Consider the following 15,379-nt stretch of genomic DNA (forward strand, 5'->3'; position numbering starts at 1 on the left):
GGGCACATACACCCTCCAAAGTCTAAACCAGGAAGAAGTCAAATCCCTGAATAGACCAATAACAAGTTCTGAAATCAATAGCCTACCAACCAAAAAAAGTCCAGGACCAGACAGATTCACAGCCAATTTCTACCAGAGGTACAAAAAGGAGCTGGTACCATTCCTTCTGAAACTATTCCAATCAATAGAAAAAGAGGGAATCCTAACTCATTTTATGAGGCCAGCATCATCCTGATACCAAAACCTGGCAGAGACACAAGAAAGAAAGAAAATTTCAGGCCAATATGCCTAATGAACATCAATGCGAAAATCCTCAATAAAATACTGGCAAACCAAATCCAGGAGCACATCAAAAAGCTTATCCACCATGATCAAGTGGGCTTCATCCCTAGGATGCAAGGCTGGTTCAACATACACAAATCAATAAAAGTAATCCATCACATAAACAGAATCAATGACAAAAACCACATGATTATCTCAATAGATGCAGAAAAGGCCTTCAACAAAATTCACCACCCCTTCATCCTAAAAACTCTCAATAAACTAGGTACTGATGGAATGTATCTCAAAATAATAAGAGCTATTTATGACAAACCCACAGCCAATATCATACTGAATGGGCAAAAACTGAAGCATTCCCTTTGAAAACTGGCACAAGACAAGGATATACCCTCTCTCACCACTCCTATTCAACATAGTATTGGAAGTTCTGGCCAGGGCAATCAGGCAAGAGAAAGAAAGAAAGGGTATTCAGATAGGAAAAGAGGAAGTCAAATTATCCCTGTTTGCAGATGACATGATTGTATATTTAGAAAACCCCAGCATCTCAGCCCAAAATCTCCTTAAGCTGATAGGCAACTTCAGCAAAGTCTCAGGATACAAAATCAATGTGCAAAAATCACAAGCATTCCTATACACCAATAACAGACAAACAGCCAAATCATGAGTGAACTCCCATTCACAATTGCTACAAAGACAATTAAATACCTAGGAATCTAACTTACAAGGGATGTGAAGGACCTCTTCAAGGAGAACTACAAACCACTGCTCAAGGAAATAAGAGAGGACACAAATAAGTGGAAAAACATTCCATGCTCATGGATAGGAAGAATCAATATTGTGAAAATGGTCATACTGCCCAAAGTAATTTATAGAGTCAATTCAATGCTATCCCCATCAAGCTACCATTGACTTTCTTCACAGAATTAGAAAAAACTACTTTAAATTTCATATGGAACCAAAAAAGAGCCTGTATAGCCAAGACAATCCTAAGCAAAAAGAACAAAGCTGGAGGCACCATACTACCTGACTTCAAACTATACTACAAGGCTACAGTAACCAAAACAGCATGGTACTGGTACCAAAACAGATATATAGACCAATGGAACAGAACAGAGGCCTCAGAAATAACACCATGCATCTACAACCATCTGATCTTTGACAAACCTGACACAAACAAGCAATGGGGAAAGGATTCCCTAATTAGTAAATGGTGTTGGGAAAACTGGCTAGCCATATGCAGAAAACTGAAACTGGACCCCTTCCTTACACCTTATACAAAAATTAACTCAAGATGGATGAAAGACTTAAACGTAAGGCCTAAAACCATAAAAACCCTAGAAGGAAACCTAGGCAATACCATTCAGGACATAGGCATGGGCAAAGACTTCATGACTAAAACACCAAAAGCAATGGCAACAAAAGCCAAAATTGACAAATGGGATCTAATTAAAGAGCTTCTGCACAGCAAAAGAAACTATCATCAGAGTGAACAGGTAGGCTACAGAATTGGAGAAAATTTTTGCAATCTATCCAACTGACAAAGGGCTAATATCCAGAATCTACAAAGAACTTAAACAAATTTACAAGAAAAAAACAACCCCATCAAAAAGTGGGCAAAAGATATGAACAGACACTTCTCAAAAGAAGACATTTACGCAGCCAACAAACATATGAATAAAAGCTCTTTATCACTGGTCATTAGAGAAATGCAAATCAAAACCACAATGAGACACCATCTCACACCCTTCAGAATGGCAATCATTAAAAAGTTAGGAAACAACAGATGCTGGAGAGGATGTGGAGAAACAGAAATGCTTTTACATCGTTGGTGGGAGTGTAAATTAGTTCAACCATTGTAGAAGACAGTGTGGCAATTCCTCAAGGATATAGAACCAGAAATACCATTTGACCCACAATCTCATTACTGGGTATATACCCAAAGGATTATAAATCATTCTAGTATAAAGACACATGCACATCTATGTTTATTGCGGCACTATTCACAATAGCAAAGACTTGGAACCAACCCAAATGCCCATCAATGATAGACTGGATAAAGAAAATGTGGCACATATACGCCATGGAATACTATGCAGCCATACAAAAGAATGAGTTCATGTCCTTTGCAGGGACATGGATGAAGCTGGAAACTGTCATTCTCAGCAAACTAACACAGGAACAGAAAAGCAAATACCTCATCTTCTCACTCATAAGTGGGAGTTGAACAAAGAGAACATATGGACACAGAGGAACATCACATACGGGGGCCTGTTGTGGGGGTGGGGGCCTAGGGGAGGGATAGCATTAGGAGAAATACCTAATGTAGATGATGGGTTGATGGGTGCAGCAGACCACCATGGCACATGTATACCTATGTAACAAACTGCGTTCTGCACATGTACCCCAGAACTTAAGGTATAATTTAAAAAAAGATACTTCAAAGAAATATAAAAAGCTTTGCATCACTGTAATCAGAGCCTTTGCTACTTAAATTCTGTCTATTCCTTGAGAACTCAGCCTTTGTCCAAGAGTGGCAATGTCATCAGAAAGAAAATCACACTTTTTAAAAAAGTGTTCTTGGTTTGATTGTACAGGTGACCCCCACAACTCAACTCCATCAGCCCATTTAAATAAATTCCCTCTGCAGGTTTTACTATACAATTTTGAAAAAAAAATTTTTTTTTTCTGTAGAGACAGGGTCTTGCAATGTTGCCCAGGCTGGCTTCGAACTCCTGGGCTCAAGTGATTCTCCTGCCTCAGCCTCCCAAAGTACTGGGATTACAGGTGTAAGCCAACACGACCAGTCCCCTCTGCAGTTTTTGAAACCCCTATTTGTAGCCCATGATTCCAGTGTTACCTCTGGTCGTAAGACAGCGCCATGGCCCGGATTCCAGCGTCACATCCTGGATAGGCAAAGAGCTGCTTGAGGTCCGACACCTGCCGGACCACGACCACTCCTCTGTCTCCTCCTGTGAGCAGGTACTGCCCATCTCGGCTCAGCTGGATGGCCTGTGAGACACAGCAACATTCAGTAGAAATGTGGTTCTAGGAAACTTTCGGCCCCCACCCTGTTTTTGAGTCATTCTTACACCAGCTACTACGGTGCAGAGAGAAGAGAGAGAGATCCTCAGGAGTTTTTAGAAAATCGTGAGTTGTAGAAGATCTGCCATTTTTCAAAAACCAAATGGACAAAGTTCATCAATGCTTGAGATTGTTTTGGCTTTGCTTTTTTAAATACTAGGTAGCAAACTCTTCCAGTTCTACAAATGCTACTGGAATGGTGTGTGTTGTGGACTGGGACCAGTGCTCTAATGAGAAGCCCTGGCATCTCTTCATTTGCACTGCAGACATGCTAATAAGCCTGTTTTGTCCCAAGACTTGGCAGATGGTGCCACCTGACCTTACATCCCCTCTAATCCCCTGCAACTCCAGCTGGAGGGAGGCGGCCAGCAGCCTCGGCACCTTCCCTGAGCCTGCTGGATTTTGACAGCAGTTGGGAAGAAGACTTTGTAGAGAGCTACAACAACTTCCAGGGTGATTAAATCTCAGTTCAGCATTTTCTTGCTCCAGGGCTGACAGTGCTCCAGCCTGTGGTTTAGTCAGCTCTAGGCTGTGCCCCTCTGTCCTTTCCTACTAGCGCTGAACAGACAGTACAGGCTCAGAATTTGCTCTTTGATCCTGTAAAATGGGCATCCATGAATGAAAGCCTGCGGGCCAAGTGCAGCCCACTGCCTGTTTCATATAATTGTTTAACATTTTTTAATGCTTGAATTTTTCATGACACATGAATATTTATATGAATTCCAAATTTGAATCCCCATAAACAGGTTTTTTTTTTTCCCCCCTCGAGACAGGGTCTTGCTCTGTCACCCAGGCTGGAGTGCAGTGGCGCAGTCTCAGCTCACTACAATCTCCACCTCTCAGGTTCAAGTGATTCTCATACCTCAACCTCCTGAGCAGTTGGGATTACAGGTGCCCACCACAACACCCGTCTAACTTTTGTATTTTTAGTAGAGACGGGGTTTCACCATGTTGGTCAGGCTGGTCTTGAACTCCTGACCTCAAGTGATCCACCCGCTCGGACTCCCAAAGTGCTGGGATTACAGGCGAGAACCACTGCGCCTGGCCTTCCATAAATAAGGTTTTACCAGAACATCGCCACACCTATTATTTGTTTATGACTGCTTTCACAGGTAGTTGCAGCAGAGAATGCAGAACCCTCAAAGCTGAAAATATTTACTTTCTGTCCATTTATAGAAAAAGTGTGATTACTCCTAATTGTCCCTCCCTCCTCCAAAAGCCAATCCTATTACCCCTTCCTCTCCTCCTGCCTGGTACCTCCAAGCCTTGCTTTCTTAGCTTATTAAGATACAAATTTCCTTTCTTTAGTGGATGGCATCAGAGTTTTAAAGCCACTACAAACACCTGTAATCGCATGTCCACCTGGACACAGGGGAATACAGATTGTGCTGGCAAGCCAGAAAGAAAAAAACCTAATTTCTGATACATTGACACTGTTCTACATTCAGTTCTAGCATAGCTGCCTTAAGTCTTCACTGTTTGACATATCTTTTAAAAAATCATAGAAAGGCAAAGACTTTCTTAGCCATTTATTTCACATTCACCCAAATGCCAACTTTTAGTAGTCCCTTAAATACAGCTTATTCTCAAGAACACAAAAACACATCTAGGAAATAAAAACCCATGTGTGGAAGACAGTTAGTTACATATTCTCTAAGTTTTGTTAACACAGATATTAAGATATTTTCAAGATGAGCAAAAATCAGTATCCTTTTCCCCCACTCATTTCACAAATGGCAATCTCTAGGGGTGTCTGGGAACTGCAGTGGAGACTAGGACAAACAATTATTTGCTACACTTATAAAATTCAGCTGATGAAAATCCATTAACCTTATGGTTGTAGTTCATTTGAATTTGATACTTGAAGCTTTTTACTGGATAAGTGTTATACTAAAACAAAACCACTGATCTTTAATTCTTTGTTCTAGTAAAGAATCTCTAATCCTGCTTCCATCTGAAATTAAGTAAAACCTGGGCTTTAGGGACTATACAGTCATCAGCATTCAAAACATTTTAATGAATCAGATGCCTCCCAAGGTGAAAAAAGATTTCGCTGGCCTCTTTCAGGAGAGGCCAAATTCCTCTGGCGGCAAGAGCCAGGGTAACATTTAGCAAGCAGCACCTGATCTCCCACTCAAATTCTGACAGGCCGCCTCCGCATCCAGGTTGGGTTGTGACTAGAGGTTTTCAGAGGGCCCCAGACACATGTTAATCTCATCCCCTGAAATCCTGAGTGCTCTGGACAATGCCGTGGCTGCACGGGTTTTAAGGAGGTAGTAGCAGGCCACAGCAATCTGCTGGGGATGACCACATTCTAAAACAGCCTCAGGAAGGGAAAACAAATGCATTCCCCTGGGTGAATGGTGGTTCTCCCTTGTTTAGGACAAAATAACTTTGCTGCTCTGTACAGGCTGCCTCCTTAAATATCAGCTATTCATAAAGACATCTCAACACTGTCTAGTTGATGGACTGTGATATGCTGCTAACCAAAATGCCACAGAGCAATCTGGCATCTAAAATAAAAATAGGTGGGAAGTGCAGAGCTTCCCCAGGCTGCCTGCCTGCAGGGTTCTTGGTATTTCACAGAAACTTAATTTCTGGTCTGAGCTGATGACTAATTTGTTTCCATGGTGTCCATTCCTTATATGGGCTCAGATTGAGGAAGGAGCTGGAGATTCTGCCCTGTGGTGTCTTGGATTCCCAGCCTGTGGCTTCCTTCCTCGCCTCCCGAGGTAGTGAGCTGTGAAAGTATCAGTCTCTGGAGCTGTGGGCAGGTATTGCTCATTTTAGGCAAGCTCGCTTTAATCACACAGTTGCCACTTGCAAGTTAGCATGATAAAGTGCAGGAGTGCTGGGAAAAAGGCAATGGATTGTTTAAGCCTAAAATCCAGTGGGAAATATTAAAGAGGGAAAAAGCAATGGCTACAGGGCAGAGAGGAGAAGCATGTGTGTATGAATGGTCTGCAGAAAGCCTCCCACTGCTGCCTCAAGGAACTTCCCAGAGCCCCTGGTACTAACTGAAATGCCACAGAAATTGCTTCAGTCAGCCAGGGATCTCAAATTATTTTACAGATTTATTAGCGTAGCTGACAATATAATCGCAACTCAAAGTGACAGATTATCCACATTATTATTGTAAAGAAAAGAGGAAAAGAAAATCCTCTGATGTGTACTTGGTTTAAATGCAGCATTATGGGAAGGTAGGGAAAAATAAAAGCGAGTACGAGTGTGTCTCTGTGCGTGCCTCGTGGAGGCCGGCAGAATGTGATGGAGAGACCGCAGAGAACAGTGGAGACAAGAAGGAAGCCGTCCACTGAATCAAGAAATGAATCCCAGGAGACAGAGCAGCAAGGGTCCTTCATTTCCTCAATGTAACCTATATGTAGGAGCTTTGTTCCCTGAGACCAGTATTTACTTAGGAGAAGGGGGTGATCAGACTAGATCTGGGAAAGTGGGAGAATTTATGACATCTAAGCTGCATAGGTCAGAATAGCAATGAGTGAAATATCCAGAGCTAGCCCAACGCCAGGGTAGAAGCCCCTGTGACCCTACTCCTGCCCCCAACATGTCCTGGGTCCCCTCATTGTATACAGCTCACATGCCCCGCCCTCCAGCCTGATTCTGGAAAATGAGGACCACCCCAGCTTTATTTTACTTTAACCTTCACCAAGGAGTTTGGAGGTAAGAAACAAAGGACCTTGAGAAACTAGCCTCTGAAAAGAATAGTTCTTACTCTTTTTCTCAATGTCTAATACTTGTGGAGTCCTGTCCTGGAGATGAAGCAAGAGCCCAGAAGGTCCACTGGCGGTGCCATTTCGGGTAGACCCAGTGGGAGAAAATGCCTGCCTAATTCATATCATAATTTGAAGCCCAGCTTCTTTAACATGTTTTTGGTCTTGTTGTCCATAAAGAAGTCATAGCTGAAATTAATAAACCTAAATAGTCATAATCCCTACTGCTCCCACCACCAAGCTATTCAGATGTAAAGAGAATCCAGTTTTAAGTGTCATCTAATGTACTATTTCAGCTTTCATACTCAGAAAACAATGTGCAGTGCATTTTCTTAGAAAAAAAGAAATGAGCAGTGCCACTAAAAGCCACCCAGGATGGCTTCAGAAGCCCCTAAGAAAACCTCTTCTATTGAAGGACCGTCCTCAGCTGCGCTGAGTGACGTGGTCAGCACAGCTGGCACTGCTGTGGTGTGTGAAGTGTGTGAGCCTTGTCTGAGTGCTACCTAAAGATTTTTTGTTGGTATGGAAAAGAGGCCCTCGGCAATCCAAAAATAGAGGTTTCTTTCGCGAACCCTCTCCCTCCCCACTTGACACACGTTGAGGTAAAAGTCGTGAATGCTGAAGAGTCCCCAGGGCACTCACTCTTATGTTATCATCTGTTTCCATCGTGGCCTGGAGTTTTCCATTCACACTGAATGTACAGAAGAGGCCGTTTTCATAGAATATGACACAATGACCCTCTCTTGAAGCCTGAATGAGTTTTGGTTTCAGGCAGTTTTCAGGACCCTCCAAGGTCCTCAACAAGTCTCCATTCATGGAATGTATGAGACATGGTCCTTCTGAGAAGAGAGGAGAAATAAAAGGCAAAATTATTGAATGAAAACAGACAATATGATCTGAATCTTGAGCACAGATCAAACAGGATTATAGAACCACACTATAGATGTAGAAAGCCTTTAAAAAACTTCCATCTTACGTGTAAGTTATTTTGCAAAATCTCCTCTTCATGTTTGCCAGATCTCACCTTCCACTCAGGAGAGGAGAGAAGCCAAACCATGTAAGTCCAAGTTCACTTTCCTCAAGAGACAGGAAGTTACTCTATGAAATTCATTATGCTAACAGGCAATACAAACTGGAGGAACTGAGAAACAGGATAAGCTTCAAATTCTAGCACAGCTTCAAGGAGGCTGGGATGCAAACAAACAAGGGCTGCGGGCAGGTACACTAAGACCTCTCCCTGCACCTTGCAGGAGCCCCAACGGCCACGGCACTGTGGGCCTATGCAGGGACAGCCAGCTCAATCAGCCTCTGAGTGCCTTAGCCCTCTTCCCCCGCAACTGCTCACTACTTTTTTTACACTGAAAGGGGGTCCCTGGTAGTTCCTCTCAACCTCCAAAAAATTCACACAGGAACCCTTCGGCCACTTCTCCTTGGCAACTGAGTGAAGCCACCTCCCTGCTGCCTTCACAGCAAGGAGCAGCATCTACCACTCCCAACGCCTGGGTGGACCACCAGGCCAAGGTGCCAGAGAAGGACAGGCAGCTACTGGGAGCCCACACACAGCCAAGCTTTTTGTTTCTGTTGAGTACCTGCTGCATGCAAGGCAAAGAAGGAATAAGGAACAAAAATTGCTTGTGTGATGAGCAAGTTCCAAGAGATAGTCAGATAACGGGGGTCACTGGGGTATGCGCCCTGCTACTCTACTGGCTAAATTACTCATGGCCACATGGAATCGTTGCCTTTTCCCCACAATGACTATTGAAAGCTTGCCCTTTTAAAAATAAGGCTTTTAGCTCTTTCTTGACCACTCAGGTAGTTGATAAATTTTTTAAATATCCACAGGCAGTGTTTGCTTTACACAGTTCCAGCATGCATGAATTTCAGTTATCACTCCTTAAATAACACCAGCCCTCCAATAACATAGTTCAAATTTAGGTTGTCATAGTAATTGCATAAAGTATGCACTTTTGTGGCTAGCTCTTCAGTCCACAAATCACTATATAAATAACAGATGTGCATCATCATCATCAGTGACCAATCACATCACTCCTTTCAAAATATGTCGATGACTGCTCACTGCATTATCTGTTATTCAGTTCCCACACAGACAGCAAACTGTGCAGCTGTGTTGCTTTTTTGTCTCCCAGTGATAAAGCCATGTAACATTTCACAAAAATGGATAATCAAAAAGGGGTATTGGCCAACAAAGATGAAACTGCAGTAAAGAAATGGAAAATGATAAAACTGAAAGTACAATTTGAATTGAATATAAATGGAATTATAGAAGAGCGAGCTGCCTGTGGGATGCTGACCCTGCTGAGACACTGTAGATATGCAGCCAGGAAGGGAATGAAGGAACTTATCAGTGTAAGTTAGGGAAGAAGGTGTAACAAAAATGTCCCAGAATTTAAACCAGCAAAAGCCTCACATTAAAGGAATTCTAGGGAATATTTCATGACATTGAAAGCACAAAAGATAAAATGTTAGATGCTGGTTCCAACTTAGAAAAGAGTATGACAGCTCCCCAAGGCATAGAAAAGATGCTAGCTCCTTACATGTATATAACAAGAAGGCAGTAAGCACTGTTCAAACTACTCTTGATATGTTTTTCACAAATAAAATAATTATCAATGTATCAAATGTTTTAAATTACAGTGTATTAAGTACATGTGAGTTTTACTACTTTTTTCATGTTATATGTATAACTGAGTATGAGTTTTTAATGTTTTGACAAAATTATTCTTAGAGACAGGGTTTTGCTGTGTCACCCAGGCTGGAGTGCAGTGGCATGATCATGGCTTACTACAGCCTTCACCTCCTGCAATCCTCCCATCTCACCTTCCCAAGCAGCTGGGACTACAGGTGTGCACCCCATGCCCAGCTAATTCTTAATTTTTTTGTAGAGATGGGGGTCTCACTATGTTGCCAGACTGGTCTTGAACTCCTGGCCTCAAATGATCTTCCCACCTTAGCCTCCCAAAATGTTGGGATTACAGGCATGAGCCACCATGCCCAGCCTGACAAAAATTTTTAAAGACCATGGAACAATTGTAAAATTTACCAATGATTATTCAGATCACTTTGTATGGTTTCAGTTGGCGTGCTCACTTTTACAGTTCCATACTACTGTGCAAAGAAAAGATGACCTGTAATATATAATAGGTTCATTTTACGACTCCTGTTGGCTCAGGACGTATGAAATTATTGAGTATAAGGGAAAAATCCAGTGGTTATAGAATTATTGCTATCATTATTACTATTTCAATGTTTTGACCAAATTTATAAACATAATCCTTTAAATATTTAAAACACCTTATTAACTAGACTAATAAGTATTACATTTTAGGACACAGAGGAGCTGATCCAAATACTCTGTTTCCCCACCAGATAAACCCAAAAGATGTGAGATATAATACTTTGTTGTGTGTTCAGACTTCAGCTCAGAGCAGAGACAGAGAGATGGATAGACTATTATGATGGGATAAGTAAGCAACGAATTGGAAACAGCTCCATTCCTAGTCAGATCCTGATTTGTTGCATGTGCTCTAAGCTCGCTTAATATCTTGGGCCTAAATATATAATGCTGTTTCCAGCACAAACCTCCAGGCAAACCAGCTTAAGTATCTTTCTACTCCACTCTCAATGCCACTGTGGCCCCTGCCTCATTAAAACAGACAGGGTCAGGGGCTTCCATTCAGATATAAGACGGAACCTGGCCCAGTAATAGCTCAGAAGAATAAACAAATATACAAAGACGTTCCTTGTTCCTGCTTCAGGGGAATATGAATATTAACAGGATATGTTTGTAAAAACATCTTAAACTCCTTAGAGCAGTGCTGTGAAACAGAACTTTCTACAATGATGGAAATGATCTGTATCTGTGCTGTCCAATGTAGTGGCCACTAGCCATATGTGAGTACTGAGGACCTGCAATGTGGCTAGTGCCACGAAGAAACTTACATTTTAATTTTATTTAATTTTAAATAATTTAAATAGTTCCATATGACTAATGGCTATCATAACAGACAGAAGCTTTAGAAAAAAGGTACCAAATTAATCTTTGGTAATTTGTTTCTAGAAGACAGCAAGAAATGCATCCATTTTGTGAAGGTACCACAGGTTTACCTTGTGAACCACTCAACACCAGGCCTAGCTCCGCACACACCGCAGCACATGTGACCTCATAGTCATGGCCGGTCAAAATGGCCCGAGGAGCAGCAGTCTCACCTTTAGGAAAAAACAGATAAAAAGAACAAATCAATTCAATTTCATGCATATTAAATAATCAACAACTTGCTCCTAATTTCCATCATGCCTATTTAATTTATAGTTTGGGAATTTGTCCAGCAATCCTACTTTAGGACTAGATCCAAGTTACATACTATAGTTTGATTATGAGGGCCACATCCTGCTAAAATGTCAAGTAACCTTTATGTGATTATCAAGCAACAATGGTTGAAAACTCAGGGTTAAATACAACAAAATCTGCATTCCAAAATGCCTCATAAAAAATCAGCCCCTCAATTAGATGTTTTATGGTCAGATGATTATAAAATTAGGAACTTTGGCTCAATTTACATTTCAAAGAAAGGCCTCGCCCCTCCTTCCTCCTTCCTCATCCTTTGTGGGCCGCTGAAACCCATCATAATGAAGACAGTCTGAACTAGACTTCTGCTACCCCCACAGTAATTCTGCAGCCCCTCTCTTAAATATGTATTCTCTCTACTAAGCTTATGTATTTTTCTGATATATAAATTTCATGGATATATTTCTCTGTGGTTCATTCAAATAACCGAAAAAAAACCCAATATAAGAAACACCTAAAAAAAAACCAAACCCTTACAGATAAGTCTACAGATAGTGATTGAAAATGAGGGGCGGTGGGTAGAGAAGGGGGGACAGAGGAGGAGTATCCAAAAACTGGCAGATATTGCCGAATACTTTCACAACTTGAAAGAACAAGTCATCCTGTATGTCTGTCCCAAACTAAAAAGAAAACGTATGGTTGGTTGGTTGGTTGGTTAATAAGGAACCCATCATGACTAAGTAAAATGGTAATGGTCTTGATTTGTGGATGGGTTCGTGCCAAGCCACAAGGATAAACTGGATTCCATGTCTAGCCTGAAGAATATGATTTGAAGACTAAACGGATCCTTTACTTTTATAGTCTCTAAAGGTAAAGATACAAAAAGTCTTTCCAAGTGGAGAGCAGGATTCTATTAGCATTCCCGATTTCTTGATTTGGATTGGTTTTATAGTATGCTTGATAACTAACACTGTGTAATCCAGAAGAGACAAATGTGCCCACAGAGTAAGTGGCTACCACCAGCTATGGAACTCTGTGGAAGAGAATCGCTTGTATCTTAACCCCAGACACCTGACTATCCTTGGAGCAGTCACCCACTCAGAGGAAGGAAGTCCAGCAGCTCAGGGGAAACCCACTGGAAACCTACTGTACTTGGAAAGGCAAATGCTGCTGTCAGAAAACTAACCCGGCTTCCAAAGCAAGGGTTCTTCCAGTAGGTCACTGGGTTATTTGAAATTTTATGCAAAATGTATCTACATGCCTGTTTTTCTAGGTAGCAGGGGAGGAAAATAAGTTTTACTGAATGGACAGAGGTCCATGAACAAGAAAAGGTGAGAGGCTTCTACCCTGAAGGGAGGTCTGGTCTCTGTGCTTGTAGCCCCACTTCACCTGGAGCCAGCAGTCACTTCAGGTCTAGCTTTTCACAGGACAGTTCCAATGCATGTACCAGAGTACATAATGCACGGCCATGTCCCTACAATGTCCTTCAAGGCTTTGGTGACTGTAGGTAATCCTGAGTGAGACTTAAGTTGAAGGAATGCCACACGGAACTTTGCACCACACTGGCGTGCTATGTGCAGCCAGCTGCTGGACCTAGCCTACAGGCTTAGTGATAAAGGGAGACCAAAAATAACATACAAAGAGGCAAGGGGGTAGGCAGAACAAGGGGCTTCGTTTCATTTGATTCCAAGTTTTAACACTTCTTTGGGAGGCAAACTTACCTTAATTAGAAAGTTGACATTTCCCAAGCCACAAAGAATTTGTCACAAGAGCAATTTTGTTTCTTACAAAGTCCAGAAATTTGGGAAAATTTTAAAGAAATAAAGCAAATAATGTAAGCCAATCTGAACTACTTAAGCTTCTGTTAGGATCCACAAATTTTTTTTTTTTTTTTCTGAGACGGAGTCTCACTCTGTCGCCCAGGCTGGAATGCGGTGGTGCGATCTCGACTCACTGCCAGCTCCGCCTTCCAGGTTCACACCATTCTCCTGCCTTGGCCTCCTGAGTAGCTGGGACTACAGGCGCCCGCCACTGCGCCCAGCTAATTTTTTGTATTTTTAGTAGAGACGGGGTTTCACCGTGGTCTCGATCTCCTGACCTCGTGATCCGCCTGCCTCGGCCTCCCAAAGTGCTGGGATTACAGGCGTGAGCCACCGCGCCCAGCCAGGATCCACAAATTTTAGGAAGAAGTATACTGTTTTAAAAAGTTATTGGCCGGGCGCAATGGCTCACGCCTGTAATCCCAGTACTTTGGGAGGCCAAGGTGGGCAGATCACCTGAGGTTACGAGTTAGAGACCAGCCTGGCCAACATGGTGAAACCCTGCCTCTACTAAAAATACAAAAAATTAGTTTGGCGTGGTGGTGTGCACCTCTAACAGGTAGGAGAATTGCTTGAACCTGGGAGGTGGAGGTTGCAGTGAGCCGAGATCACGCCACTGCACTCTAGCCTGGGCAACAGAGCGAGACTCCGTCTCAAAAAAATAATAAAATAAGAAGTTATCAATACTTTAGCCCTGATTCTTGGTTTTCCTTTTCCCCAGAAGGCTGTACATTCCACAAAAATACCATACAATGTTGTTTCTGAAATTACTGTCTAATTAGATCCATTGGCAACTTTTTTTTTTTACCAGCAATTAAAATCACTAAGATCTAAGGAATATATTTTTGGTGTGATTGTTCTTTTTTTTTTTTTTTTTTCTTAAGTTACCATTTCATGGATGGTGAAATTTGTGTTTTAACTTGAATTGTCTTGGAATTCCTCAGTGGAAAGTGAAGGTTTGAAGGAAAGCTGATGGCAAATGAAGGCATTCTAAGTATAAGACAAAGTAAACAAAGGACAGATAGATAATGGTGGTCCCAGAGGATGATGTCACTTAAGAACATCAATGCTAACTTTTTGTTTTCTTGGGAGCATGGTGGAAGAAGGGAGAGGATTGCTGTCAATTTTCTTTCTTTCTTTAATGTAAAAGAGTTGAAATACTGAGCATTTTCTATGACTACAAAGTTAAGAGTTTAGGAAGCCTCGTGATTAACTCCAGAAGGTGGGTTAAGATATAAGCATTATTTTTTTTGTAAACTCGTAAGATTTTTATCATTATGCTTTGTTTACAAAATACTAGTTTCCAATAATCCAAACTTTATTAAATCATTTTTCACTCCACAGATCAGAACACACACACATGCAGAGTAATTTCAAAACTGGAAAAGGATTTCTTCTTTTCCTAGGGCCTGATCTCTAAATAAGGAACTATTCAATGCTAGGACTTTGGCTTCAAAGTTTGGCAAAATGTTTGCTAATCCCGGAAGCAGGTTAGACAGTTCAGGAAATACAAAAGAGAGAGAGAGAAAAAAAGAAAAAGAAATTAAAAGCATAAGGGTAGACTTATGATCATTAGGTTCTCAGGTAACCAGTTTTACAGTCACTGGATTTCCAGTAAAAAGACAGCGCTACTTAACTTTCCTCACCTATAGGAAATGTACATTACTGGCCTCTATAAACCCACATACATCAATATAAGGAGAGATATGTCATTTCCTCTAAGAAAAGCTGTTTCCAATCTTCTTTAAAGATTGTATTCCCTTTATTATCTGCTGTACAGATTGAGCATTCTTTACATTTTCTCCTCATCAAAAAGTACATTCAAAATAAATACCTACTACTTGATTTTTATAAGTTTTATAATAAAGAGCTTGAAATAGTTACACTTCAATATAGCAGATATATGATATGGGATTTAAATCTAACAGGTCAAAACTGTTTAAGTTCAATGGACATTTTGGGAACCACTTGCAATGAAATTACTGAGGGTAGCGGGGATAATCGGAGGCAGAGCAGAGGCTTTACATGTGGCTCACAGAATCGATCTTTTTATGTCTCTGTAGTTACACTGTATACATCATCCTGGATCACAGCAGAGCCAAAGTGACAACATCCCACAGAAAGGAAAGGCAAAATCCCTCCATATCTGTGTACATTTC

At 41.5% G+C, this 15,379-nt stretch overlaps 1 protein-coding gene across 11 annotated transcripts in view, besides 1 other annotated feature; it reads right to left on the minus strand.

Annotated features, from left to right (window-relative positions):
* Window positions 1–15,379, minus strand: part of LRBA (LPS responsive beige-like anchor protein) — a 751,293-nt gene that overhangs the window by 10,279 nt on the left and 725,635 nt on the right. For all 11 annotated transcript variants that reach the window (XM_047416462.1, NM_001367550.1, NM_006726.5 and 8 more), the window contains 3 exons: window positions 11,220–11,321; window positions 7,737–7,933; window positions 3,140–3,291 (listed from right to left, as the gene is read on the minus strand). In XM_047416462.1, coding sequence (XP_047272418.1) covers window positions 3,140–3,291; window positions 7,737–7,933; window positions 11,220–11,321 — 451 coding nt within the window. The remainder of the gene's footprint in view (window positions 1–3,139; window positions 3,292–7,736; window positions 7,934–11,219; window positions 11,322–15,379) is intronic.
* Window positions 13,434–13,934: an enhancer, noted in NCBI's record as "H3K4me1 hESC enhancer chr4:151209299-151209799 (GRCh37/hg19 assembly coordinates)". NCBI's record gives its function as "activates a minimal SCP1, AML or CMV promoter by ChIP-STARR-seq in naive H9 embryonic stem cells {active_cell/tissue: H9 hESC(naive)}" and the evidence as "EXISTENCE:reporter gene assay evidence [ECO:0000049][PMID:30033119]".

The sequence above is a fragment of the Homo sapiens genome, chromosome 4 (genome assembly GCF_000001405.40).
Source record: "Homo sapiens chromosome 4, GRCh38.p14 Primary Assembly".
Classification (NCBI taxonomy): domain Eukaryota; kingdom Metazoa; phylum Chordata; class Mammalia; order Primates; family Hominidae; genus Homo; species Homo sapiens.